General features: G+C 47.1%; 1 protein-coding gene across 3 annotated transcripts in view; it reads left to right on the forward strand.

Annotated features, from left to right (window-relative positions):
• TMEM132C (transmembrane protein 132C) overlaps nt 1–25,311 on the forward strand; it is a 440,742-nt gene that overhangs the window by 328,340 nt on the left and 87,091 nt on the right. For all 3 annotated transcript variants that reach the window (NM_001136103.3, XM_047429886.1, NM_001387058.1), the window contains exon 4: nt 20,643–20,826. In NM_001136103.3, coding sequence (NP_001129575.2) covers nt 20,643–20,826 — 184 coding nt within the window. The remainder of the gene's footprint in view (nt 1–20,642; nt 20,827–25,311) is intronic.

Here is a 25,311-nt window from a genome sequence, read left to right on the forward strand (position 1 = left end):
GGTGTATCAGTTGCAAAACAACAGAACTAAATCTGGCTAACCTAAGCCAAAGGGACCCATGCGGTGAAGAGGAGGAGGCCACGGGATTGTAAGAGGCAGCAGGAGGCACGTGGGGGTGAGCCTGACCCAGTGAGACCAGAGGCCAGGCAGCAGCTGCCTTTGCCAGGGCCTCAGGCAGAGGGGTCAGCCAGCATCACCCGTGGCACTGACAAATGCAGCCCTTTTCTCTTTTCTTTCTTCTTTGCAACACTTAATGGCAAGGACCTAGAAGGGAAATCCACCTGGTGACGTCACACTGACCGTACAGAATGGGAAAGAGGAATCAGCCGCTTCAGCTTTAAAACAGAGGAGCATCCCCCAGAACGTAGCCTCCCATCACAGCTCCATACAGTAGGAGAAGGGCAATTTCCCAGGAAAAAACTGCCATGCCCACCATGCCGTTAAGTCAGGTGGATGCGGGGAAGCTCTGCAGTGAGAACATCCACTCTATCAGGGCCAGCCGCCCACTTCCCCATTCCTGATCCCATGTTCTGTCCATCACACTGGGCTGCCCCTTTTGCAGGTCCTGGTACAGAGGCAGCAGGGCTTCACTGATCCCGTTTTCTGTCCATCACACTGGGCTGCCCCTTTCGCAGGTCCTGGTACAGAGGTGGCACGGCTTGACTGATCCCGTGTTCTCTCCATCACACTGGGCTGCCCCTTTCGCAGGTCCTGGTACAGAGGCGGCAGGGCTTCACTGATCCCATGTTCTGTCCATCACACTGGGCTGCCCCTTTCGCAGGTCCTGGTACAGAGGCGGCAGGGCTTGACTGATCCTGTGTTCTCTCCATCACACTGGGCTGCCCCTTTCGCAGGTCCTGGTACAGAGTGGGCAGGGCTTGACTGATCCCGTGTTTTCTCCATCACAGTGGGCTGCCCCTTTCGCAGGTCTTGGTACAGAGGTGGCAGGGCTTCACTGATCCCATGTTCTCTCCGTCACACTGGGCTGCCCCTTTTGCAGGTCCTGGTACAGAGGCGGCAGGGCTTCACTGATCCCTGTTCTGTCCATCGCACTGGGCTGCCCCTTTTGCAGGTCCTGGTACAGAGGCACCAGGGCTTCACTGATCCCATGTCCTCTCCATCACACTGGGCTGCCCCTTTCGCAGGTCCTGGTACAGAGGCAGCAGGGCTTCACTGATCCCTGTTCTGTCCATCACACTGGGCTGCCCCTTTCGCAGGTCCTGGTACAGAGGTGGCAGGGCTTAAAGAACCTGCCTTCCCGTCACCACGCACAGCAGCCCCAGCAGACTGAAACCCCACCACGCAGGGCTCTTCCCACTGAAGACTGTTTGTTAATATTAATTTTGTCAAGTGCTTTATCATCTCCATGGGACAAGCAACTTGAATGACTGAAGACCACTGTCTTCCGGGGAGGTCATTCTTTTCAGCTCATCTGTTTTCTGTTAAGGATGCTTTCAAGGCGTTCCATAATGGCTTTTCCAAAACTGCGGATGCTAAGTAGCTCGGCCTTTCAACAGTGCCCCCCTAGAAGTGAGTTTCCTTCTCTCCACCTTTTCCTCAATTTACTTTTGCTTCTCCAAATCAGCTTAACCAGTTGGCTATATACCCTTCTGCAATGTTGCCAGTAAGTTTATAGGAGCGTTGGTTAATGCAAATAGCCATGCTGTCCCCAAAGAAAATTAAGCTGGGGACATGCACAGTGGGTCACGTCTGTAATCCCAGCACTTTGGGAGGCTGAGGTGGGTGGATCACTTGAGGTCAGGAGTTTGAGACCAGCCTGGCCAACATGGTGAAACCCCATCTCTACTAAAAAAAAAAATTAACCGGGTATGGTGGCACACACCAGTGATCCCAGCGACTTGGGAGCCTGAGGTAGGAGAATCACTTGAACCTGGGAGGTGGAGGTTGCAGTGAGCTGAGATAGTGCCACTGTACTCCAGCCTGCAGAAAGAGAGAGCGAGAGAGAGGAAGGAAGGAAGGAAGGAAAGAAGGAAGGAAGGAAGGAAGGAAGGAAGGAAGGATGGATGGATTAAGCTGGAAGCTAGAACAAAGGAACATAGATTCATTATCTTATTATTAACTAATATAGATGTGTTCATCCCCTCCTATACTTCCAGGTAGTATTCTAAACCTTGGGGATACAACAGTGGCCAACACAGTTTCTCATCTAGAGGTGCTTACATCTTACCAGAGAAGATAGAAAATGAACAAAGGAAAACCAAACAAGATTTCCAATGGTGTTAAGGGCAACAGCGACAGCCTAGCAATGTGATAGTTTCTGGAGCTGCAGGCCTTAAGGTGTCTGCCTGAGGCGGGTGTTTAAGTGTTTGAGGGTGTTGACTTCTATAGGGAGCAAACATGCAGAGAGTAGCTGGAGGGAGAGCAAATGCAGATGTGGTGTGTCTGTGGAGCAGGCAGAGGTCCCAGGGTAGCTGGAGCGTAGTGATCAAGGAGGGAAAGCAAAGGCTGAGATCAGAGGGAGAGGATGCATCCAAGTAAAAGATTTCAGGGGCTCCCCAGAGCACGTCCTCCTAACGTGACAGCTTCTCAAAGACTGTTTCTTTTTTAAAGATAAAATGTTGACCTGGCAGTTATTAAAACTATGTTTTTAAAACTGTTGGAGGAGGCTGGGCACGGTGGTTCATGCCTGTAATCCCAGTAGTTTGGGAGGCCAAGGCAGGCAGATGGTTTGAGGCCAGGAGTTAGAGACCAGCCTGGCCAACATGGCGGAACCCCAACTCTACTAAAAAATAATAACAATAATAATGATACAAAAAATAGCTGGATGTGGTGGCACACACCTGTAATCCCAGCTACTTGGTAGGCTGAGGCAGGAGAATCGCTTGAACCTGGGAGGCGGAGATTGCAGTGAGCCAAGATCAGGCCCCTGCACTCCAGCCAGAGCAACAGAGTGAGACATGGTCTCAAAGAAAAAAAAAGTCAGAGGAATGAGTGTGGAAGACAGCTCCCCAGCCCCCCTTCCACCACCCAGCAATGATGCAGGATCCCACCCCAGCCTTGCTCCCCGATGTGAGAATGTGTCTGGGCCTCTGCACATTGCACCCCCAGACCAGTGATCTTCTTTCAGTTCCTCAAAGTCTCTTCACTCCCAATGGCCCCTCTTCCTAAAATACCCCTGCCTGTTCCTCCTGGCTTTCTCTCACTTATTGTTCAGCTTTCAGCTCAAAGGCCCTGTCTCGGGGAACCCTCTAACCCCCTGGGTTTAGTTGCCCCAATTTTAGGGATTGTGCCAGGCTTTCTTCATATCATAGCCCTCGCCACATTTTACTGTAATGCTGGGACCATGCGCTGCTGAGCTGGAGGTGGGGCTGGGGTGGGGCTGGGGTGGGGTTTGGGGTGGGGTTTGGGTGGGAGTGTGTTCCACAGTGGCTTGTCTAGTTTCAATCCATTTCCTGCCCTTCCTTCGTTGAGTGATCCCTGCAAACTACATTTTCCGGACCCCTTGCCAACTGGATTTTGGCTACATGTAGCCAGCAGGAGGCCCTGGTGGGCAGTTGACAGTGGGAAGGAAAAAAGAAGCCTGGGTGTTTTTTGCCCTCTGCTTCTGATGGTGTCACAGGCAGTGGCTCCCGTTCCTCTGCGGCTGCAGCTCCCACAGGGAAACTCTCAGTGTAGACCCAGCTCTTATCCAGTGAATTCACCCCTGGGGTCATCACCCCCAGCGTTTGTCCCTTGACCCTGAAGGTGGAAGCATCTTCCTCTCGTTGATAATCTCAGGTTACCTAACTTGTCTGCTCCTTCTACACCTTTATAACCAGAATTAAATCTCTGCTGCAGAACTGCCTAGGATGGGCTTGGTTTTCCTGCCTGATGAGCAAAGAATAAGAAGTACCCAGTGACCGAGCCCTTCCAGGTACTGGGGGACAGGACCTTCCTGTGGCACTGGGAAACCTGGGGCAGCGATGATGGCCAGGGCACCTGGGCCTCTGACATGTTGCTCCGGAGGAGACGGTTGCCTTGCTGCTGCTACTTTCATACAGAAATAGGATCTCCATATTTGAAACTATTCCCTTAAAAAATCCTTTTTAACTGTGGCTGCACATAGGGATACCCCAGGAAGCTTTACCAAAATGAAAAGTGATACCCATGCTCGCCATAGATAAGCTGAATCTGCAAAGGAGAAAGAGAAAAGGAAGGTTTTTTAAAAAGCAAGAGTGTTCTTCTGAAGTTCACCAAGTGATTCTATCATGCAGCCAAGGTTGAGGACCTTGAACAAGAGGACAGAGATTGTTAGTGTAAATTATTCCAGAATGAGTATAATACAGACCCTGATATGGTTTGGCTGTGTCATCACCCAAATCTCATCTTGAATTCTAGTTCCCATAATACCCACGTGTCATAGGAAGGACCTGGTGGGAGGTAATTGAATCATGGGAGCCGTTACCCCCATGCTGCTGTTCTCGTGACAGGGAGTGAGTTCTCACAAGACCTGATGGTTTTTTGTTTTTTGTTTTTTGTTTTTGTGTTTTTTTGAGACAGAGTCTGGCTGTCACCCAGGCTGGAGTGCAGTGGCGCGATCTCGGCTCACTGCAAGCTCCGCCTCCCGGGTTCACGCCATTCTCCTGCCTCAGCCTCCTGAGTAGCTGGGACTACAGACGCCCGCCACTGCGCCCGGCTAATTTTTTGTATTTTTAGTAGAGACGAGGTTTCACCGTGTTAGCCAGGATGGTCTAGATCTCCTGACCTTGTGATCTGCCCACCTCGGCCTCCCAAAGTGCTGGTATTACAGGTGTGAGCCACCGCACCGGGCCAAGACCTGATGGTTTTATAAGGGGCTTTTCCCCTTTTTTGCTCAGCACTTCTCCTTGCTGCTGCCATGTGAAGGACATGTTTACTTCTCCTTCCACCATGATTGTAAGTTTCCTGAGGCCTCCCCAGCCATGCTGAACTGTGAGCAATTAAGCCTCTTTCCTTTATAAATTACCCAGTCTTGGGTATGTCTTTATTAATACAGACTCATACCCCTAATACAAAGGGAAGTGCTGCAGCGAGAATTGGATGGCTTTCTCAAGTGGAGTGGACCCATGCCTGCTTGGGAAACACCTTTGCAGCTGGGCACCACAGGGGGCATGGAGGGACAAGAGCAGAGCAGCCCCAAGACTTGCTGCCTTCCAATGCACTCTGGTCAGTCTCCTCGCGTGTCTTTAGCCAAATGGATGGGGCCCTGATCACAGGTGTGAGGGAACTCCCTCTGGCAGTCTGGGGCCCACCATGGACCACAATGATGCGCTTCTGCACCTCTCCCACTGTGCCTGGCACAAATCTGGTGCCTGGTGAATGCTTGATGGATGGACAAATGGATGAATGAGTTGGATGCTGAGTAGAGAAAGCCTTCTGTTTTAAATGTAAAAACTATATCCCCCCAGGGCCTTCTAGTCTTAGCAGTTAGTGCTACCACAGAGACCCTCAACCCATCAATTACGAAAATTAACTGTAAATTATCCTTTTGCATAGTTAATTCAGCCTCTTCATTCTGTGTTTAGTAGCGCTCAGCAGGCATAAAATTCAATAGCAAGCTTTGGAGCAAATCCAGTTTCTGTCGTCTGTGATATTTTGAAAATGCAAAGTTTTAGGAGTGGACCTTGGAGCGTGTCTTTCCTGGAAGGTCTCCAATGAGCTCTGCATCTCGCTTCTCTCTTGGAATGGGCTCAACCCTTCTGGAAAGGCTGATAGCTTCAAAGGATGCGTCTGTCCTCCTCTCCAGCTATGCAGAGAGGCCTACTCCCTTCTTGAGTAAAAATGAATACCAACCTGACTTGTGGAAGGAAAGAAAAGTGTGACTGTCGGGGCACTCGGCTCCTGGCGCAATCACCCAGTCATTCTTCACTCCGCAAACATTTGCTGTGCACTTTCTACGAGTCAGTGCTGTGATGTATCACGAGGCGATCACGGGGAGTAGAACGGTGTCCTTGCTGCCATGGGACTCATGACAGAGAAAGGAGGAGGAAGATGGTGAACACGAAATGCATAGAAATGCATCCTGCACCGAGGCTGTATACATAAAGTGGCCAAGTGAGTCCCGTGTAACCAGGGTGGATGTCATGAATAAGTGAGCCATGGATGGCAGGGGTGAATGCCAAGATGGGCGAGCCCTGGGGAAAAGCACAGGCAGGGGCACTGAGGTGGAGGGCGCTTGGCGGGTTGGAGTCGTCCTAAGGTGGAAGGACCTGGTAAGAGGGTAGGGAAGGGGATCAGTGCAGTGGCGGTGGAGGGACAGCTTATTATTAGGCTTGTGAGAAAGTAATTGCCTTTTAATGGAAATAACTTTTGTGCCAACCTAGTATCAGGATTTGGGAGGTAAAAGCATTGCAGATCCTGAGGCCAGGCTCAGAATCGTCATTTGATAAGCATTTTGTGGCTGAGTATGGTGACCGATTGCTTGCTCTGGGAGCAGAGTTTCCTGATATTCACAGTTTTCTTTTCTGTGATCCCAGCACTTTGGGAGGCTAAGGCAGGAGGATTGCTCGAGGCCAGGAAACAAGCCTGAGCAATGTACCGAGACCCTCTCTCTATAAAAAATTTAAAATTAAGAAAATTAGTTGGGCATGGTGGTCAGTACCTGTAGCCTAAGCTACTCAGGAGGTAGGAGGATCACTTGAGCCCAGGAAGTCGAGGCTGCAATGAGCCACGATGGCACCAGTGTGCTGCAGCCCGGACAGAGCAAGACCGTGTCTCTAAAATAAGAAAGGTTTTTAAACCACAATCCACTTCAGCTTACCAACGCATGAGTGTATTTCCAATCTACAAGCTCCAGCGTGCAAAACAATCTGTGCAGCCCTATTTCTTCAACAGGCATTGCACTTGGTGTCTCCCCACATTCTATCTGGTGGCAGAAAACTTCATCTTGCTCATTCCAGGTCTGATAAGGAATTTCCAGTTGAAACTTGGTTGATTCAACCTCTCGAGCTCTGCCTGATCTGCCCAAGATTGACCCAGGAGGGCAAGCTCGTCATGGCACTGCCCTGTGGGGGAAATGTTAGGTCTTCAGGTATTCACCCTCTTGTGGCTTCCTTCACAGGGGTGTACGATTCCATCGTTTAGCCCTGAAATTCACCAAGGCATCCATGTTTCTACCTGGTCTCCAAGTACATGGTCTGTGCCATCCTCACTGCTCCACCCATTCTTCCTGCAAGAAACTGAGGCCAGGTTCAGACTTGCCTCCGTTCTCACCTCAGCTAACTTCAGTGACCCATCCTGGAATTAGGCCAATGTCCCACTGCTTTCCATACCATTCAGGGCTTTAACGTCCTGGGGATTAGGGTGGCTTCCTCTGAGTTCCTCTCTGCCTGGGCATCCCAAGCTAATCCTGATCTACCTCTGCCACATGCTGCCAGCAAAGTGCAGAGGAGACTTTATGATCACTTGGGAATGAGCAAGAGAACTCTAGCAATCAGAACCTTCATCTATTGCTGCTTGACAAGGTGGCCCAAGGTTACTGGCTCCAAACAAATATTTGATATTTCTCACTATAAGTTGGAATTTTCTGGGCAGTTCCTCTGTTGGAGCTGTATCCATCTGAGGCAGTCACTTGGGGCTGGGTTGGCCAGGCTTCTCCCCTCTCCACAGGATTCTGCATCTAGGGGTCTTCATGACACATTGGCTTCAGAGCAGTGCACGGAGAGAGTGAAAAAAGCAGCTAGAAGGCTCCCAAAGGCCCTGGAAATTTTGCATTATCAGTTCTGCAGCCTTGCAGGGGCTGAAATGAATCACAGGGCCAGGCTAGATTCAGGCGGGTGAGGAGACAGATGCTCCTCTTGATGGACAGCACAACAGAGTCCCCTTGCAGAGGGGTGTGCATACTGGGGTGGGTAGCATCTGAGACCATTTAATAACTTACCACAGGGTCTAACCAAGAGAACAGATGCTGCTTTTAGCAGTTACAACAGAGGGAATGAGAGCACAGGAAACTGGCTCAAAGTGAGGACTGAGCTCAGCCCTCGAAAGGACCTGCACCCACTTGTGCCTCTCCCCTCCAGCAGGCCCTCCATGCCTGTGTTTAGTCTGGCCAGGAGTGGATGCTGGGCGGAGGGCTTGGTGAGTATTCTTCCCGAATATTTTCTTCACTTAGAGCCAGTCTACAGATTACTTTATATATTTACTTTTTTACTCAGGAGCCCTAAATGTTACATCTCTTTTCTTCCACTGTGCTGGCTTTTCTGAGGGCAACAGCAGCCTCCTCACTACCTTCCAGGACTCAGGGTGCGGTAAAGAAGCTCAGTTAGTCACCAGTAAGGAAAACTGCCTGGTTAATATTTCATAGCATCATATAAAACTGTGCAAACTAGAGTGTCCACAAGCAGCAGGAGGCAAATTGGAGGCCCTGAGAAACAAAGCTAGAAACAAAGACTTCTATGTCCTTAAGGAAAGGACTCTGATTGTGGTCAGGACAGGGAAGAACCCCACTTGTGGTTGGGCCAGAGTGGAAGTAGGGTCATATTAGCTGCTATGGAATGGGGAAGTGTAGAGAGAAGAGAGTGTCGAGAAAGAATGTTGAAGGTGCAGGTTTTCCCTCCGTGTCTCTCTCCCTGGTGGAATTTGCCTCTCCCATCCAAAGCCTTTCCAGCAAGGAGCTTGTATGAGTCAGGGTTCCCCAGAGACATAGAACCAATGGGGTGGATGAGTCCATAGATATAGATTTAGGTAGACAGATTTATGGATACGTGGGATGGATGGATAGATATGATAGGTTGATTGATGAATAGATTGGATGGATGGATTGAAGGATAGATAGAATGGATAGAGTGATTAATTGATTGGTAGATAGATGGGATGAGTGGATGGATGGATAGATGGACGTGTGGATAGAAAGATGGATGGATAGATAGATGGATAATAGAGGGATAGATAGATGGCTAGATAGATAAATAATGGATGGAAGATAGATAGATAGATAGATAGATAGATAGATAGATAGATAGATAATAGATGGATAGATAGATGATACAAATGGATAGATCATAGAGGGATAGACAGATGGCTAGATAGATAAATAATGGATGGAAGATAGATAGATAGATAATAGATGGATAGATAGATGATACAAATGGATAGATAGATCATAGAGGGATAGATGGCTAGATAGATAAAAAATGGATGGAAGATAGATAATAGATGGATAGACAGATGAAACAAATGGATAGATAGATCATAGAGGGGTAGATAGATAATAGATGGCTAGATAGATAAATAATAGATGGAAGATAGATAATGGATGGAGGGATAGATAATAAATGGATGGATGGATAGATAGATAATGAATAGATAGTAGATAGATGATGGATGGATGGATGGATGGATAATAGATGGATAGATAGACAGACAGATGGCTAGATAAATGATGGATAGATGGATGATAGATGATGGATGGATGGATGGTTGAATGGATGGATGGATGCATGGATGCATAGATAATAAATAGATGGATAGATAAATAATAGATGGGTAGATGGATGGACGGATGGATAGATAAATGGACACATAGATAATAGATGAATGGATGGATGGATGGATGGATGGATGGATGGATAATACATAGATGACAGATTATGGATAGGTAGATGGATGGATGAATAGACAGATAAATGATAGATAGATAGATAGATAGATACATAGATACATAGATACATAGATAATGAGGAGTTGGCTCATGCAATTATAGAGGCTGGCAAGTCCCGAAAACTGCAGTTGTCAAGCCGAAGACCCAGGAGAGCCAGCAAAGTACTTCCATTCTGAAGGTATGAGGACCAGGAGAGACAATATTTCATTCTGAGTCCAAAGGCAGGGAAAAAACTGATGTCCCAGGCAATCAGACAGGAGGAATTCCCTCTTACTCTGGGGAGAGTCAGCCCTTTTGTTCTGTTCAGGTTTTCAGTTGATTGGATGACATTCACCCACATTGTGGGGGGCCAAGGGCTTCACTCAGCTGAGGTGTTAATTTCTCCCAGAAACACCCTCACAGATACACCCAGAATAATGTTTGCCCAAATGTCTGGGCATCCCATGGCTCTGTCAAGGTAATGCATAAAATTAACCCTCACAGAGACCAGATGGGGCAGGAGGACAGGGGTGCATTACGGATCTGGTGTGATAGCCTTCGACACCCTCAGTGGCATCACGTCAAACCACCTCCTGAGGCATCGGCTGAGGAGAAGGAAGTGGGAGAGGACAGCTTCATGCATGAGGCACCACTGGGTTTTCCCTCATTCCCCTTTTTATTGCTTCAGGTGTCTCATAAGGTCCTGGGCAGCAAGGTTGGTTTCCCACGCTGGAGAATTTATACTCATTGGAGAGCGAGATGTGAAAGGGTCATTGTCAGGTTCCTTGATCTTTTCAGGTCATTTGTGGGGTCTTTAGAGCCTCCATGCACCCTAGTTCCTTCTTCTCTGAGAATCACTTTGAAAGATTCATCATTTTTTGGCAGAACCCTCTGCCCAGCATGTTAATTGGATCTGAAGGGCTGGACTCAGTGCCCGCTTTGGGCTGGCCTAGGGCCCACCATTGCAGCACTGGGAAGCCCACTGTGATGTCTGTGGAGCACCAGGAGCCTGCTTGGGCTGGGGGCTATCTGAAGCCAAGACACCCAAACCTCTGAGGCCTTCTCAGCAACTGCACTTCCTGAAGTGTGACCTAATTTAGCTCAAGCTTCAGCTGCTGGAGAATGACTACATGACACACTTCTGGTATGTGAGGCCCATGCAGGCCACCTGCTGTGCTTCAGGAAGTTGCATCCTGCATGGAAAATAAAAACCATCAGGCTCTCCAGAGCACAACAGACCCCTCCCCCGTGTGGCCAGGGGTTCCCTGGAGCCACCGCCTGGGGCTTTCACATAGGAGGGGCCGGGAAGAACTGGAAGCTCCCATAGTCTCTCTCCTCTCTTAAGGGCTTCGTTTCATCCATAGTTTTATTCCCCCTGCCTGTATTTCCCTCGCTGCCCAGCCTCCTTTCTTAATTGGATTCGCTTCAACATTTATGCAGTGGGAGATTTCCCATTTTTAAAAAATCCAAACTTCTGTTTTATTCTTGGAAAACAGACCTTCTGGCAACAAGGGGCCCAGACTTCCACCTGGCTGTGGTGCAGCTGCCCCTAAATGTGGCAGAGGGGCCCCTAGTGTGTCACAGCCTCTGTCAAGGCCTGTGTGTGACAGTGCAATCACTTGCTTTCTACCTGCCTGGCTTCCAAAGGCGCTTGAGTTTGTGGACTCTGCCACAGATGGACACACCTCTCTGCCTCTCTTGCCCTCATGCCAAGCGACTTATCAAAGGGGCAGGTCTCGGTTCCAGGGGCCTCTCTTGTATATTGACAAGCTTTTCAGAGAGTAGATCTTTTCTAGAATTTTTAAAATGCATTTTATGGATATGAAGTCCTGTTATTGCTGGGGCTCACCAGTAAACAAAGCAAGTTTTTAAAACCCTTTCACGGGGCTTACATTTTAGATAAGAGGAGGTGGAAGAAGTCAACAAATACGATGAATAAGGAAGACACAGGACAGGTCGGAGGGTGACGAGTGCTGTAGAAAAGGCCAGAAGTAGAAGAGGAGGCAGGAGGTGTAGGTGAGAGGGTGATATGGGAGGGTTCATGTGAGCTGAGACCTAAAGGAGGTTGAGAAAGCCTCCGGATGTGTGACCAAAGATTATTCCAGGCAGAGGAGGGAGCAAAGTGCAATGATCCTAAAGCAGGAATGTTCCTGGAGTGTTTGAAAGCTTCCAGGAGGCCAGTGGGGCTGGAGGAGAATGAGCAAGGGGAGGGGTAGGAGAGTCCCAGGGGTGAGGGTGGGTGGCACCAGTTAGGCTCAGCCTCAGAAGCCCTGGTGAGGACTTCAGCTTAAGCCAAGTGAGATGGGGAAGCCCTTGGAGGTTTAGGCCGGAGAAATCTCTGGCCCGAGTCACATCTCAGCAGAATTATTCTGGTTGCTGCATTGAGGAGAGAGGTAGGGGAAGTAGGGGGTTAGGGCCGAAATGGGCATATCCCAGTTAGGAGGCATTGAAGTGAGCCAGGTAAGAGATGATGGTTGCTTGGGCTGGAGCAGTCGTAACGAAGGTGGTGGGAAGTGCTCAGGTTCGGGATATGTTTTCAAGATAATCCTGTTGGACTAGGTGTGGCATGTGAAAGAAAGAGAGCATTCAAGAATGACTCCTGGAAATTTTAGCTGTGTTTACTCCTCACATGACGACTGATGTCATAGTAAGAGCTACCATTTGTGGAGCATCACCTGTGTGCCCGACTCTTTGGGCGTGTTAGGTATGCACATTTCTCTCTCTAAGTATGCATAGCACCCCTGGAAGGAGATGAGGAAACTGTGGTTTTGAGAGCATAAATCACAGAAGTAATGTCTCAAGGCTAGTAAATAATTAAGTGTGAGATTCATACCCAGGGCATTGACTCCAAAGCTTGTGGTCACGCTCTCCCATATGCTGCAGCAAGGAAAATAAATAACAGGGCCAGGTCTAGCTATATTTAGGGGAAGGAAGGGATGCAAATGTCATTCTGGAAAGATCACTTAGATCAGGACCTGGGGAGCTTGGATAAAGTCTCATCACTCACCTGGTACCGTCAGCAAATCTTAGGACACATGGCCTTAGAAAGATAAATGCATTGAAGTCTTTCTGGGCTATTAAACAGGAGAAATAGTTGTAGCAATGCTAAGAGCTTCCACTTGGTGGGTAGTCGCTACCATATGCATTAAGCTCTACACATGTGCTGTGCCATTTATCCTTGCAACAAACAGCCTCACAAGGGTTGGCTTACTACAGGTCAAAAACCGATTCTTCTAGAGGTGAAGTTAATATCCCTGCATATTAGAATCACCTGGGGATCTCTTAAGACTCCCAACAGCCAGGACTCACTTCAGACCAATGAAAGCAAGATCTCTGAGATGGGACTCAGGCATCAGAATTATCTGTGTGTCACCACGGTTCAGAACTAGTGAGTTAAGTAATTTGCCCAAGTTACCCCTCTGCTAAATAGTGAAGTCAGAATTCAAACCCAAATGTGTTCAGTTCAGAACCCAGAGTTGTAAGATCTACCCAACCATATCTGTGCATAGAAATTAGGAAATAAAGAAAAAAAGAAAGTGAAAAGCTTGTTAATCACAGAGAGAAAACACTTCTGTGTACAGCAGTAATTCTCCACATTGACAACACATTAAAATCACTTAAGTTTAAAAATTACTAATGTCTGAGTGTCACCTCTCAAGATTCTGATTCTGTTAGTGTAGGGTAGACACAGCTATTGATAGTTTTTCTTTTAATTTCCCCACGTAATTATAATATTCAGCCAGGATGGAGAGCCCCTGATTTAGAGGAGGGGGAGGCTCAGGTTTCTTCCATAAGGATTGCAGATCTTTTAAGCAGTTTCACTGGCATGGATATGATTTGCAATACTCTTTCTTTTTTCATCTTTTCATGCATTATCTGCTTCTGTAAATTTTTAGGCTTTGGAGAATGGGGTAGAGAGAAGTGAAATGTGGCTTGTTTGGGTTTTTAGTTTTTTTATTTTGAGACAAGGTCTCACTCTGTCATCCAGGCTGCAGTGCAGTGGCCAGATCTCAGCTCACTGCAACACTGTAACCTCTGCCTCCCTGCACTGTAACCTCCACCTCCCTGCAACACTGTAACCCCCGCCTCCCTGCAACACTGTAACCCCCACCTCCCTGCAACCCTGTAACCCCCACCTCCCTGCAACACTGTAACCCCCGCCTCCCTGCAACACTGTTACCCCCACCTCCCTGCAAGTTACCCCCACCTCCCTGCAACACTGTAGCCCCCGCCTCCCTGCAACCCTGCTATAACCTTCACCTCCCCAGGCTCAAGGGATCCTCCCACCTCAGCCTCCCAAGTAGCTGGCACCACAGACTGCACCACCACCCTGGCTAATTTTTAGTTTTTGTTTTTGTTTTGTTTGTTTGTTTGTGGAGACAGGGTTTTGCCACGTTGCCCAGGCTGGTCTCAAACTCCTGAGCTCAAGTGATGCACCTGCCTTGGCCTCACAAAGTGCTGGGATTACAGGCATGAGCCACCGTGCACAGCCTGTTTGGCTTTTCAAATTTGAACTCATAATGTAATTCAAGGGTGCTTGGAAATAGGGTGACCTTCATACTCTTTGCTCCTCCCTGCTGCCTGTCTCTGTTATCCCACACCCTGAACTAGGTACAGAGAGCATGGATGAAGGAGGGACTTCCTCTGTAAAAGGCCAGATTCTTTCTCATTCCCCTGGCGTATTGGATCTGGGTGTGTTAGCTTAGCTCAGCCAATCAGAGCTCCTTAGTCAGACCTTTGAATGAGGGATCCTTAAGGCAAAGCCTCAAGAACAGGAGAAAGTTTTGACAGCACTGTCCTCTCTAGAACTGGCATCTGAAGTTCTAGCTTTGTAGCCTTCCTTTGCTCCCACCTAGGCCCCATGCCTATTTCTCCAGTCAGCCTGGTAATTTTGAGGCATTTGTTCCATTCTCTTTTCCTTGTCAATCAATGCAGGGTCTTTTCTGTTGCTTGCAACTTGTGCCACCAAGGGATGTGCCTCAGCACCATGGAGAGATCCCAGAAAGCCCTCAGATGTGAGTATTGACATTAGGGTCAATGAGACTTTCTAAGAAAGCCCTTTCCAGTGAGGAAGCAAGTGTCCTTGCCTTCATGAAATACTCATGAGGTAGAATGAAATAAAGCCAAGCCTGGATCGAGTGATTCTCTTCTCCTGAAGCGGCTTCCCTATGAGAAGGCTGATTTTCTTTATTTGGTTAGTCTCTTTTCTTTCTGCGGGCACTAAGCTGTCAACCAACTTTGGAGCTAAAATCCCTGACTCCCTGTAGTAGGGAGGTAAAGCCCTTTTGGCTTTTAACTCACCCCCAGACTCAATTTTCTTACCAAATAGAGTCTGACAGCTAAGAGGTTTGGTAAATTAGGTTTCCAGTGGTCCAAACTTTATTGTGACTGTTGGGAGAATTCATTTGCTTTTGAGTAAGAGCTTTTTAAGCCAATTTTGAAAATTTAGTTCAAGAGTTACTGCAAGAAATCTACACTATTGATTTATCAAGTGATAGTTCTTGGGTGCTCTCTGGAGTCACTTAAGTGTTTAAATTCCTCTCTTTATTACTCCAACAACATCACAAGCCCCATATGAGCTGATGTGAAAGACTCTTGGTCCCTTCAAGGCAAAGCTTAGCAAATATTTCAGTCTGATTAGAGTCAGCGGAAAGGCACTGACCACAGAAGAATTGAAAGAAGAAAAGATTTCTTATTTTTTTAGTCTCTATCTGCCAGTACAACGTGCATTATGGCATTGTGTCTACAGAGGCAGGCACTCAGGAAATGCACTGTATACAAATCTTAATGAGTCCCAGTTCACAGTGAATGGCTGAGAGCCTGCCCCTCCACTGTGGTTCGTTCTCAGGAAGCTCCTGAACCAGGCTTCAAAAGTGTGCCTGAATGGTGGCTTTAGGCAGCCAACCCTAAAGCCACTGAGCCTGAATGCGATGTCAAGTCCTGCTAAAAACAAGAAACAGCTTCCATTTATTGATGCTTGCTGGCATCAAGTTCTGTTCTAAGCACTTTGACTTGTTCATTCATATCAACTCCAAAATGAGAGGGATTAACATCCCCATTTTGCAAATAGAGAAAATGAGGCAGAGTTGTTCGGTCATCCAGCCAGTACCTGGGGAAGCCAGGCTGTGAGTCAGGAAGTCCTTTGAAGCCCACAACGTGATTCCTGACATGTGTGTGCTCCCCTTAAAGGGCCATGGCTTTTTGCCTTGGTTCAAACTGCTAACTTTCTTCCTCTCTCCTTCCCTCTCTCACTTTTTTCCTTCCTTCTCTCCTCTCTTCTTCATTTCATTTATTGTTTCATTTCTTCTTTTCTCTTTCATTATTTGAATGAAAGACTTGTTGGAGGCCTAATGTTGACAACACATCTGATTGGAGGTGCTCTCATTGCAACAGGAATATGTCTGGGGCGGGAGCGGGGTTAGGGACTGGCTCCAGCCCCATGCCCACTGCTGTCTCACCCCTTGGAGTGCCACGGATCCTGGGCACTGCAGTTGGAGAATCACCACATGCATCATTTTTGGGAAGACATCTTCCACCTCAGGTCACAGCAAACTATAAAATGCTTTTGCCAGAATATGTAGATACTGGAGGGAAACCTTCTAAGCCAGAGGCAGGAAACTGAGAGTCAGCAGAGATGTTGTCTGAGCTACGCTATAGCTAAAAAGTGAAGGTTCTTATAATTTAAAATCCAGAGATTTTAGAGAAAAAAAAGCCTAGATTCCCAGCTTCTCTAGGAAAATCTTCTGCTCTCTAGTACCACTGGCCAGCCATCCCATCAGTCAGCAAGGACAAAGTGGAGATGCTCCCTTAAAATGAACAGAGCGGAACCAGCGACACCAAATCGCCCAGTGACTCATCTCCACGAAAGGGTCAAGTTTCAAAATGGGGTTGCATTTTCTTCAACTTAGACAATCATACTATGCATTTTTTAGAGACGAAGAAGACAAAGGCTGTGTGGGGGTGGAGAAGGGGTAGGAAAGAATATGAATGTACAAAAATAAAGAGACAAGGGCATTGGTTCTGTATCTTCCCAGAGGAATTCTTTGTCTTGTGTCAGAACGTTGAATCCTAAGGCCTCCCGGGGGCTCATTTCTCTGTCGGGTCAGTCTGGTCTGACCTTTGCTCTATCACACACATTCCCAGGGTCCAGGTGGACACAGAACTATCTCTTCTTCCTTTTGTCTGAGATCTCCAACTCCCTGAAAGACGGATGTCGGTGTTCTAGCCAGGCCCCTGCCCCCAGTGCACCAGAGAGCTTGCCCTGATGTCACCCTGACCTAGAATTCTGTGCAGCTGCCAGAAAGCTGGAGTTTTCATCCAGTTGTGAAACTTGTATTTTTTTTTCCATTCTGAAACCAAGATTAGGTTGAGTTGGCTCACAAGTGATGGGCATCTGAGTGGGGAGCTACAGAATGTTCCAAACAGGATCCTGCTGAGTTGCTGCCTTCTATCTGTGGTTGAAGAGCAAGTTGATGCAAACACACTTTCTGGCTGCAGAGGTTCAAAAGTGTCTGCTCTGACACTGGTGCAAAATGAGAACCTTAATCACCACCTCAGGGTTTGGATTGGGATTTGGAATAAGGTCTGCGTGGAACCTGGTCCAGTGCCCGGCACATAGTGAGTATATTGTTAACAGTCACGTGTTATTTTTATTCTTATGCCAACTACAACAAAACGCTTTCGGGAGGTCACCTCACTGCTCACAAAAATCACATAACAATATCTTTCAAGCCAAAAGGAAAAATACCCCTTCTCTTTTCCCTTGTCCATGACTATGCCTTTCTTAATGCCCTTCGTTAGCAGAATTGCAGTGGAGGAGGCTGCTCCTGGAGCATGAGAAGTTGTGCTGGCTTCTTTTTCATGCCTCTTTCCTCCCTGCACAATGGGAATGTCATTATTTCAGTCTTCTATATGGTGCCTCTGAGTCTCGGAGAGATGATGTGAGTGGTTGCAATGCTCACAGAACTTTGTAAGAGAGTGAAGAGAAGTGCAGGCTGAAAGCTCATTGCAACCTCTGTGGTTCTGTGCCAGTATAGGCATCCGTTTGGGACTGAAAGGGGGTCTTTGGACATTTGGATGGTTGCCACATCCAATACTAAGGGAAGTGAATTACTTGCTGAGTAGAGTCAGTCAAGTAGCCATGCAGCTCCTGGACAGCACCAGTACTGGTACCCAGTGGCAGATAAGGAGAATCAGGTCCAGACGTGCTTGCTAAGAAGATGAGATGCAACTCCCTAGAATGCAAGATTGTCTGCAGGCCAGCAGTGAGAGAGGATCTCCTGGATGTTGAGTAGTGCAGAGTCAACATAAAATGTAGCATCTCCTGTTTCCCAGTCCAATGCTCTTTACAGATCCTCGCCTAAGACAGCTGGTGGTCAAGAACCACCTGTGGGCCTCAGTTGCTGGACCAAGAACACATCTCTTAGTTTGGAAACACTCTAGACTCAAGACATCTCTCCCTCATTTTTAAAGACTAGCAATTCATGCTTGAGATTTGCAGCCCCTAGCTTGATGGTCAAGACCTTAGATTTCTTTTCCCTCCCAGAGGAATCTCTAGCATCTCATAAATCATGATTCTGTGGGCCCTGTTCCCGGCCCTGTGAACTTAAGGAAGATTCACAAAACCCAGTGCTTTGTTTGGTGCAGTAACCTTCCCGTTATATCCTTCCCCAGCCACTGAGCAGGACTGAGGGTGATGTGGTGGAGAGTTAGTGCTCTGGCTGTCAATCAAGCCCTGAAGATGGAATGGTGCACTCGATATTAGTGCCCCAGCAAAGGAAAGTGTTTCACTGCTACTCTTCATGTTGGCACATGCTTGAGATGCAGTTTTTAAGCATATTTGGTGTTTCTTTCTTGATATGCCATGGAAAATCTCCTTTAATTCATCTGCAAACATGTAGCCTTCCAGGAGATGGCAGCCTGAGGTCTTGCTGACCACTGACCCACCACTTAGCGCCATCCTTAGCATATCAGCAGAGGGCACTGGAGACACCTCAGGCTGGATGCCAAGGCTCACCAGAACCCTGGCCCCCCTACAAACTCAGCGTGATGCCTTCCATGCTCTTCCTTCTTGTTTCCACCAATAGCGGTTCTATTGATCAACAGCTCTACAAAGCTCGGCCAACTTCCCCTTCTCTGACCTTCTCTAGCCAATACTGGCAAAAGTTTTCTGTAAGGATTTGGATAAGAAATATTTTAGGTTTTGCAGGCTCTACATTGACTGATGCAATTACTCAACCATGTTCTTATAACACGAAAGCAACCACAGGAAAATGTAAACAAATATCCAAGGCTGTGCTCCAGTAAAGTGTTACTCACAAAAATAGGCAGCTGGCTGCATTTGGTTCACAGGACACAGTTTGCTGTCTCCTGCCCTAAGGAAACAAACAAACAAATTAAAAAAAAAAACTGTTGGAGACTTGTGATGTCATATTTGACCACCAGCTGTCTTAGGCAAGGATCTGTAAAGAGCATTGGACTCGGAAACAGGAGATGCTACATTTTATGTTAACTCTGCCCTAGCCAGATATGTGGTTGTGGGCAAGCCATCTTTCCTTTATTGGCTTTAATTTTATCATCTAAAAAATGAAAAAGTTTGGACCAACGGTAGTTCCCAAAATACATATATCTCAAATGCATGGAATTGGTCAGAATTCTTAGTTGCAGACAAAGAGTCCCTTTAGCTAAGTAGCCCCTCTGAGCAGAAGAGATGTCATTAAAGGATACTAGGCAATTCACATAATCTCTAGGAGAACCACTGAATTGAATGTATTTACTACACAGCCAGGGACAGGGCAGCCAGTGATAACACAGACGACAAAGGTCCAACCTCTGCAGAGGACTGTTGTGGTGGAAACACCACTGTCACCCCTCGGCATGATGATGTGAGGGCCTGGATGCCAGGGGCACCCCACAGCTGCCCCAGGAGAACCAGGGCCACTGTGCTCACCAGAAAACCCCAACTGCCTTCCTGGCTGCTGCTCTAGAACCCACTTCTTCCTCTACGTCCCAAATGAGTGGGTCCGACTGGAGCAAACTGCTTCAATCCTGCATCTAGCAGCAAGGGGTTCTGAGAATGTAGTTTAGGCCTCTCAGCCCCTATAGCAGAGGAGGACAAGCAGAGGGGGTTGAAGGTGCTATTGAGTGAGTGGCCTACAGCAGTGGTCCCTGACCTTTTTGGCACCAGGGACCAGTTTCATGGAAGACAATTTTTCCACAGATGGCGGTGGTGGGGGAAGGATGGTTTTGGGATGATTCAAGTACATTACATTTATTGTGCAGCTTATTTCTATTATTATTACATTGTAATGATAATGAATAATGAATGTTGAATAATAATGAACTAATTACATAAGTCACCGTAATGTAGAATCAGTGGGAGCCCTGAGTTTGTTTTCCTGCAACTAGACTGTCCCTTCTGGGAGTGATGGGAGACAGTGACAGATCATCAGGCGTTAGATTTTCATAAGGCGCACACAACCTCGATCCCTTACATGCGCAGTTCACAATACAGTTCATGCCCCTATGAGAATCTAATGCTGCCACTGACCTGACAGGAGGTGGAGCTCAGGTGATAATGTGAGCTATGGGGAGTAGCTATAAATAGAGATGGAGCTTTGCTCACTTACCCGCCACTCACCTCCTGCTGTGCAGCCCTATTCCTAACAGCCCATGGACTGGTACCGGTTCATGGCCCAGGGGTTGGGGACCCCAGCCTATAGCATCTGCCACACCTACAGAACTGAACAGAGGCCATTCAGGTGCATACTGCAGGTGTGAGATAAACTAGTTTAGCTCATCATCTGCAGAGCTGGTAATAATCATTCCAAGGCCTCATCAACACAGACACAGGTTACTGCTCATTGTTGAATATTCTTGGCCCATATCCTTAACTTGTGGGTGCTTCTCTGTCCCAGATGCCAGTCCTCACTTTGTAGGTGGTTCCATGCCCCAGGATCCCCCACCAAAACCCTGGAGCCATCCCTGAGATGTGTTTCTTTGTCTTTATCTTCTGCGTACTATTATGAGGAGAGAAGGGTCCTTTGAACAAAGTTGGCTTAAAGCCAGTTTCTTTTCTCTCTTCCAGGAGCAGCAGTTTATTCAATGAGGTTGTGCAGATGAACTTTGAAATAGCCAGTTTCAGCAGCCTTTCAGGGACTCAGCCCATCACGTGGCAGGTGGAGTACCCACGGAAGGGGACCACAGACATCGCCGTGTCCGAGATCTTTGTCAGCCAGAAGGACCTGGTGGGCATCGTTCCCTTGGCTATGGTGAGTCCTGAGTTACCTTGGATGCTCCTGCATTCAGCCACCTGACTGCATCCTGTGTCCTTCCTATCTGTCATGGGATGTTTGCTACAATGATTTTATGGAGTGTTTACTTTCAAAGTTTCTCGTCTTTCCTCACCCTGGAAGTTGTTACTTTTCATGAGCCTGGCCTTTCTCAACTTTAGTCATGAAGTTTAGTCCAGCAAGTCACAATCATTGCTGGAGGTGGAAGTGAGCACCTGTGATTTTAAGAAGCTCACCAGGTGATTTCAGTGTGCAGCCAGGGTTGGAAACCCCTGAGCTAAAAGGATGGTCAGCTTTGCCATCTTTCTGCAAACTCGGTTCCTTCTTGCTCCCCACTCCATGCTTGAGATAGATGCCCTTCATCTCCTCTTTCCTTAGGATGATGGAGCTCACTCAGCATTGAACTCTCAGAGGCTGTCACTGGGCTGTGAGGTCAACCTGAAATGTAGAAAGTAGATGAGTGACAATGGGCTTGAGTAGTGCAGCACCATCTATCTGACTCACAATGTGGCCACTCTTAGATTACTGTTAGTAGTGTACACTGATGAGAACGTGTAAGCAAACATGCTACTTGTGTGAATCATGCTATGAGAAATGGATTAATCAGGATTATAAGAAAATGGATTATTCAGGATTCTTTGAGTTATAAAGGCTACAAACACAACCCAACTTCACCTTGGCTCATGTAAGTTTAAAAGTCTAGAAAAGTGTTTCTCAAACATTATCGGGCATGCAGATCACAGGAACATTTTGAGTAGATGCCCATCCTCACTTAGGAGGTCTGGGTTGGGTACTTATTTTTCAAAGCTCCTAAGCCATGTCAGCGCGGCTGGTCTGCAGACCACACTTGGAGTGTGAGGGGCCCACGTGTGCAAATGATGTGGTATGGACAGTGGCTTCTCTTCCTTTCTCAGCTCTCCTTCCTCTTTGTTAGTCACAAGGTGGCCCCGGCAATGCCACGCTGGCTTCTTCACAGCATCATGTCCAGCAAGAAATGAGTGGAAACCTCACTGCCAATCACTCCAGCAAATCCTTTGGGACAGAGACTGATTGGAACTGATTGGCTTGGGTCATGAGCCCAACTTGAAGCCAATCACTGAAATCAAAAGGATGTGTTGCTCTGATTGGCCAGGCCTGGGGAATGTATCACCCTGGGGCAGGTGTGGAATCAGGTGAAGGAGATGTAGCAGCAGGTGGGACAGGTGTAGCATCAGGTGAGGCAGGTGTGAAATCAAGTGGGGCAGATGCAGAGTCAGGTGGGACAGGTGTGGAATCAGGTGGGGCAGGTGTGGAATCAGGTGGGGCAGGTGTAGAGTCAGGTGGGACAGGTGTGGAATCAGGTAGGGCAGGTGTAGCCTCAGGTGGGGCAAGTGTGGAATGAGACTAAGAGCCTGTGCATCATGGAAAAATTTGGCTTTCACTGAAACAGGGAACAGATGCTGGTCAGACAAAATAGCAGATGTGCACCCCAGAAGGTATCATCTACCATAAAGATCTGTAAACACTTGGAAGTCAGAGAATGATTCCTTTTGACTTTTTATGTCCTAGAACAGGGGTCAACAAACAACAAGCCATGGGCCACATCCAATCTGCTGCCCGGTTTTGTACACCATGCAAGCTAAGAATGGTTTTAACATTTTTAAATATCTACATTTTTAAATGGTCCTGTCTAGCTTCTTCATATGCTCAGTTCTGCCTGTTGGCTCATAAACTCTGAAATATTTACTATCTGGCCCTTTAGAGAGAAAATTTGCAGACCTGTGTCCTAGAGCACACACCAGCATCAGCTCTGGATTACAAGTGTTCAGTTTCGACCTATTTCAGAAGGATAAGACATTCAAATACTTTGAAAAGGAAAAGCCATCTTAAGAGTGTGAGATATTATAATGGTCCTTTTCAAGGGAGCACAGGTCTTCCTTGGATGGATGTATTGTTATTCTTGTGGTGGTTGTGTTTTCATAATGCCTTTAAGGTAAAGTGAAGTGATTACTAATGTCTGTACTCTTGTCAGGATCCTTTTGTTTGCAAGTAAATGCATGTGAATTCAAACAAGCTTTATTCAAAAGTTCATTGATAAACAAACACCTTTGCAGCACCAGCACAGAGCTCTGGGCTCTGAACACTGGATTTGGGTGCTCGTGCAGTGTTATGGTTTGGCTGTGTCCCTACCCAAATCTCATCTTTAATTGTAGGTCCCATAATTCCCACATGTTGTGGGAGGGACTCGATGGGAGAAAATTGAATCATGGAGGCAGTTTTCACCATACTGTTCTCATGAATGTGAATAAGTCTCAAAAGATCTAGTGCTTTTATAAGGGGTTTCGCCTTTCACTTGGCTCTCATTCTCTCTTCCCGTCGCCATGTAAGACATGCTTTTTGCCTTCTGCCATGATTGTGAGACCTCCCCAGCCACACGGAATGGTGAGTCCATTATCTATTTTCCTTTATAAATTACCCAGTCTCAGGTATGTCTTTATCAGCAGTGTGAAAACAGACTAATACATGCAGTATCACCGTTTTGCATCCCCTGGGATGTACAACTTGACCTCAGCTATGCAAAGCAACATGGAAAATTAGAAAATAGATGAGGCAATTTAGAGGGACTTCTATTCTCCTATTTTCTGTATGTTCAAAGTTTTGGTTCAGAATAAGCTTTAGGACATTTATAACCAGGCAAAAAGTAAACTTTTATTGGAAGTAACTAGCTAATAAAACTGCAGCTTTGACTAGAAGATGAGAAATTTAAAAAAAATTACTGAGCACAAAGCAAATCCTGTGTTGTCTGTTAGCAGCCAGTGAGACAGCTGGTTAGATCTTTGAACCAATTAAGCATATTTTCCAATTTGTTGATCGTTTTAAAGAAAACAAACTTCAGAAAGGTGAAACAGGGGATTAACAGATGGAAAATCTGCCTCACTGGGGAAGTTCTTGCCTTAAAATCAAGCATTCTGAAGCTCCTTTTTAAATCCAAGGAGAGAGCCACGGATAGGAGGATTCAGCCACAGCATTCCCCGTCACCTACTGCCTCTGACTCCCCCTGAGTAAATGCAATGGGAAAAGCAGGGAGACGTGCTCTCGACTCTCCCCAGAGCAGACCCTGCAGGCGGAAGCCACCTGAATCTCACTTGCTGGTCCCTGGGCACTCTTTTGTTTGGAGAGGACTGATTCCCAAGGCCACCGTTTTGCTCGTCCTGCCTCCAGGCTTGTTGACAATGAGCCTCTTGCCTTGTGAGGGCAGGAAAGCTCCAAGTCTTAGCTCCACGACCCTCCTGCCAGCACCCACCTCTCCCTAATCCCCTCCTCCCTGCGCTGTCCCCACTGTGCCAGTGTTAGGCTTGGGGGATGGGGTGAGAGAGGTATCTGAATGGGAGGACCAAGGCCACTTTCGTACATAAAGCTTTCAGAACTACAGAGGAAGGAGCATTTGGGACAACTAAAATGTTGGCAGTTCAGTTCTTCTTCAATGTAAGAAAAAAGGGTTCATATCCCAAGTTGAGGCCACATGAGCAGAGACCAGGCACAGATTTCCAAGTGATAGTTTCTGTATGCGAGTGGCTGGGGTGCTGGTCTCTTTTTAAGAATAAATGGACAAGGCCAGGCGCGATGGCTCACACCTATAATCCCAGGACTTTGGGAGGCCAAGGCAAGAGGATTGCTTGAGTCCAAGAGTTCAAGACCAGCTTGGGTAACATAGTGAGACCTCATTTCTACAAAAAAATACCAAAATTAGCCAGGTGCGGTAGCACACACCTGTAGACCCAGCTCCTAGGGAGGCTGAGGTGGGAGGATCGCTTAAGCCCAGGAGTTGGAGGCTGCAGTGAGCCGTGATGGTGCCACTGCATTCCCAGCCCAGGCAACAGAATGAGACCCTGTCTCAAAAAAAAAAAAAAAAAAAAAAGGAATAAACAAGCAGCAGAATTCATTCAACCTCACACTAAGCTCTGCAGGTATTCATTGCTGCATATCCTCAGAGGACAGCAGTCAACAGACAAAGTTTGCCTTCCTGCAGGTATACTCTAGTGGAGCGACAGACAGCAAACAGGTAGATACTTCCTAAGGTGAGGTCCAGATAGTGATCAGACGCTGCTGTCACACAAATCAAGGAGGAGTAAGGGGATGGGGTCTAACTGATTTCTAGCTCTGTTAGCGTCATGGACTTTCTTCCTACTGCTTATTTGAAATTAAAACAAAACAAAAAACAAAGAAACTAAATTTTAGGCAAAAAACTCTAGAGAAGGCAGTAACCACTAATTTTGGCGGTGTAGGAAGAAGTTCTTTGCCCCCGGGACTGATATATTTAGTCTGAAATTAAATTTCCTGAGAAGTGGTGAGATTTACCTGGAATTTTGAAAAGTTTCAAATCATTGCCATTTTTCATCCTTTGCAAACTCATTATGAAATCATTTTCCTTGACCCCTAAAACATGACAGTAACTTGGGTTTTTTTTTTCTTACACAGAGCTTT

This window comes from Homo sapiens, chromosome 12 (genome assembly GCF_000001405.40).
Source record: "Homo sapiens chromosome 12, GRCh38.p14 Primary Assembly".
Lineage (NCBI taxonomy): Eukaryota > Metazoa > Chordata > Mammalia > Primates > Hominidae > Homo > Homo sapiens.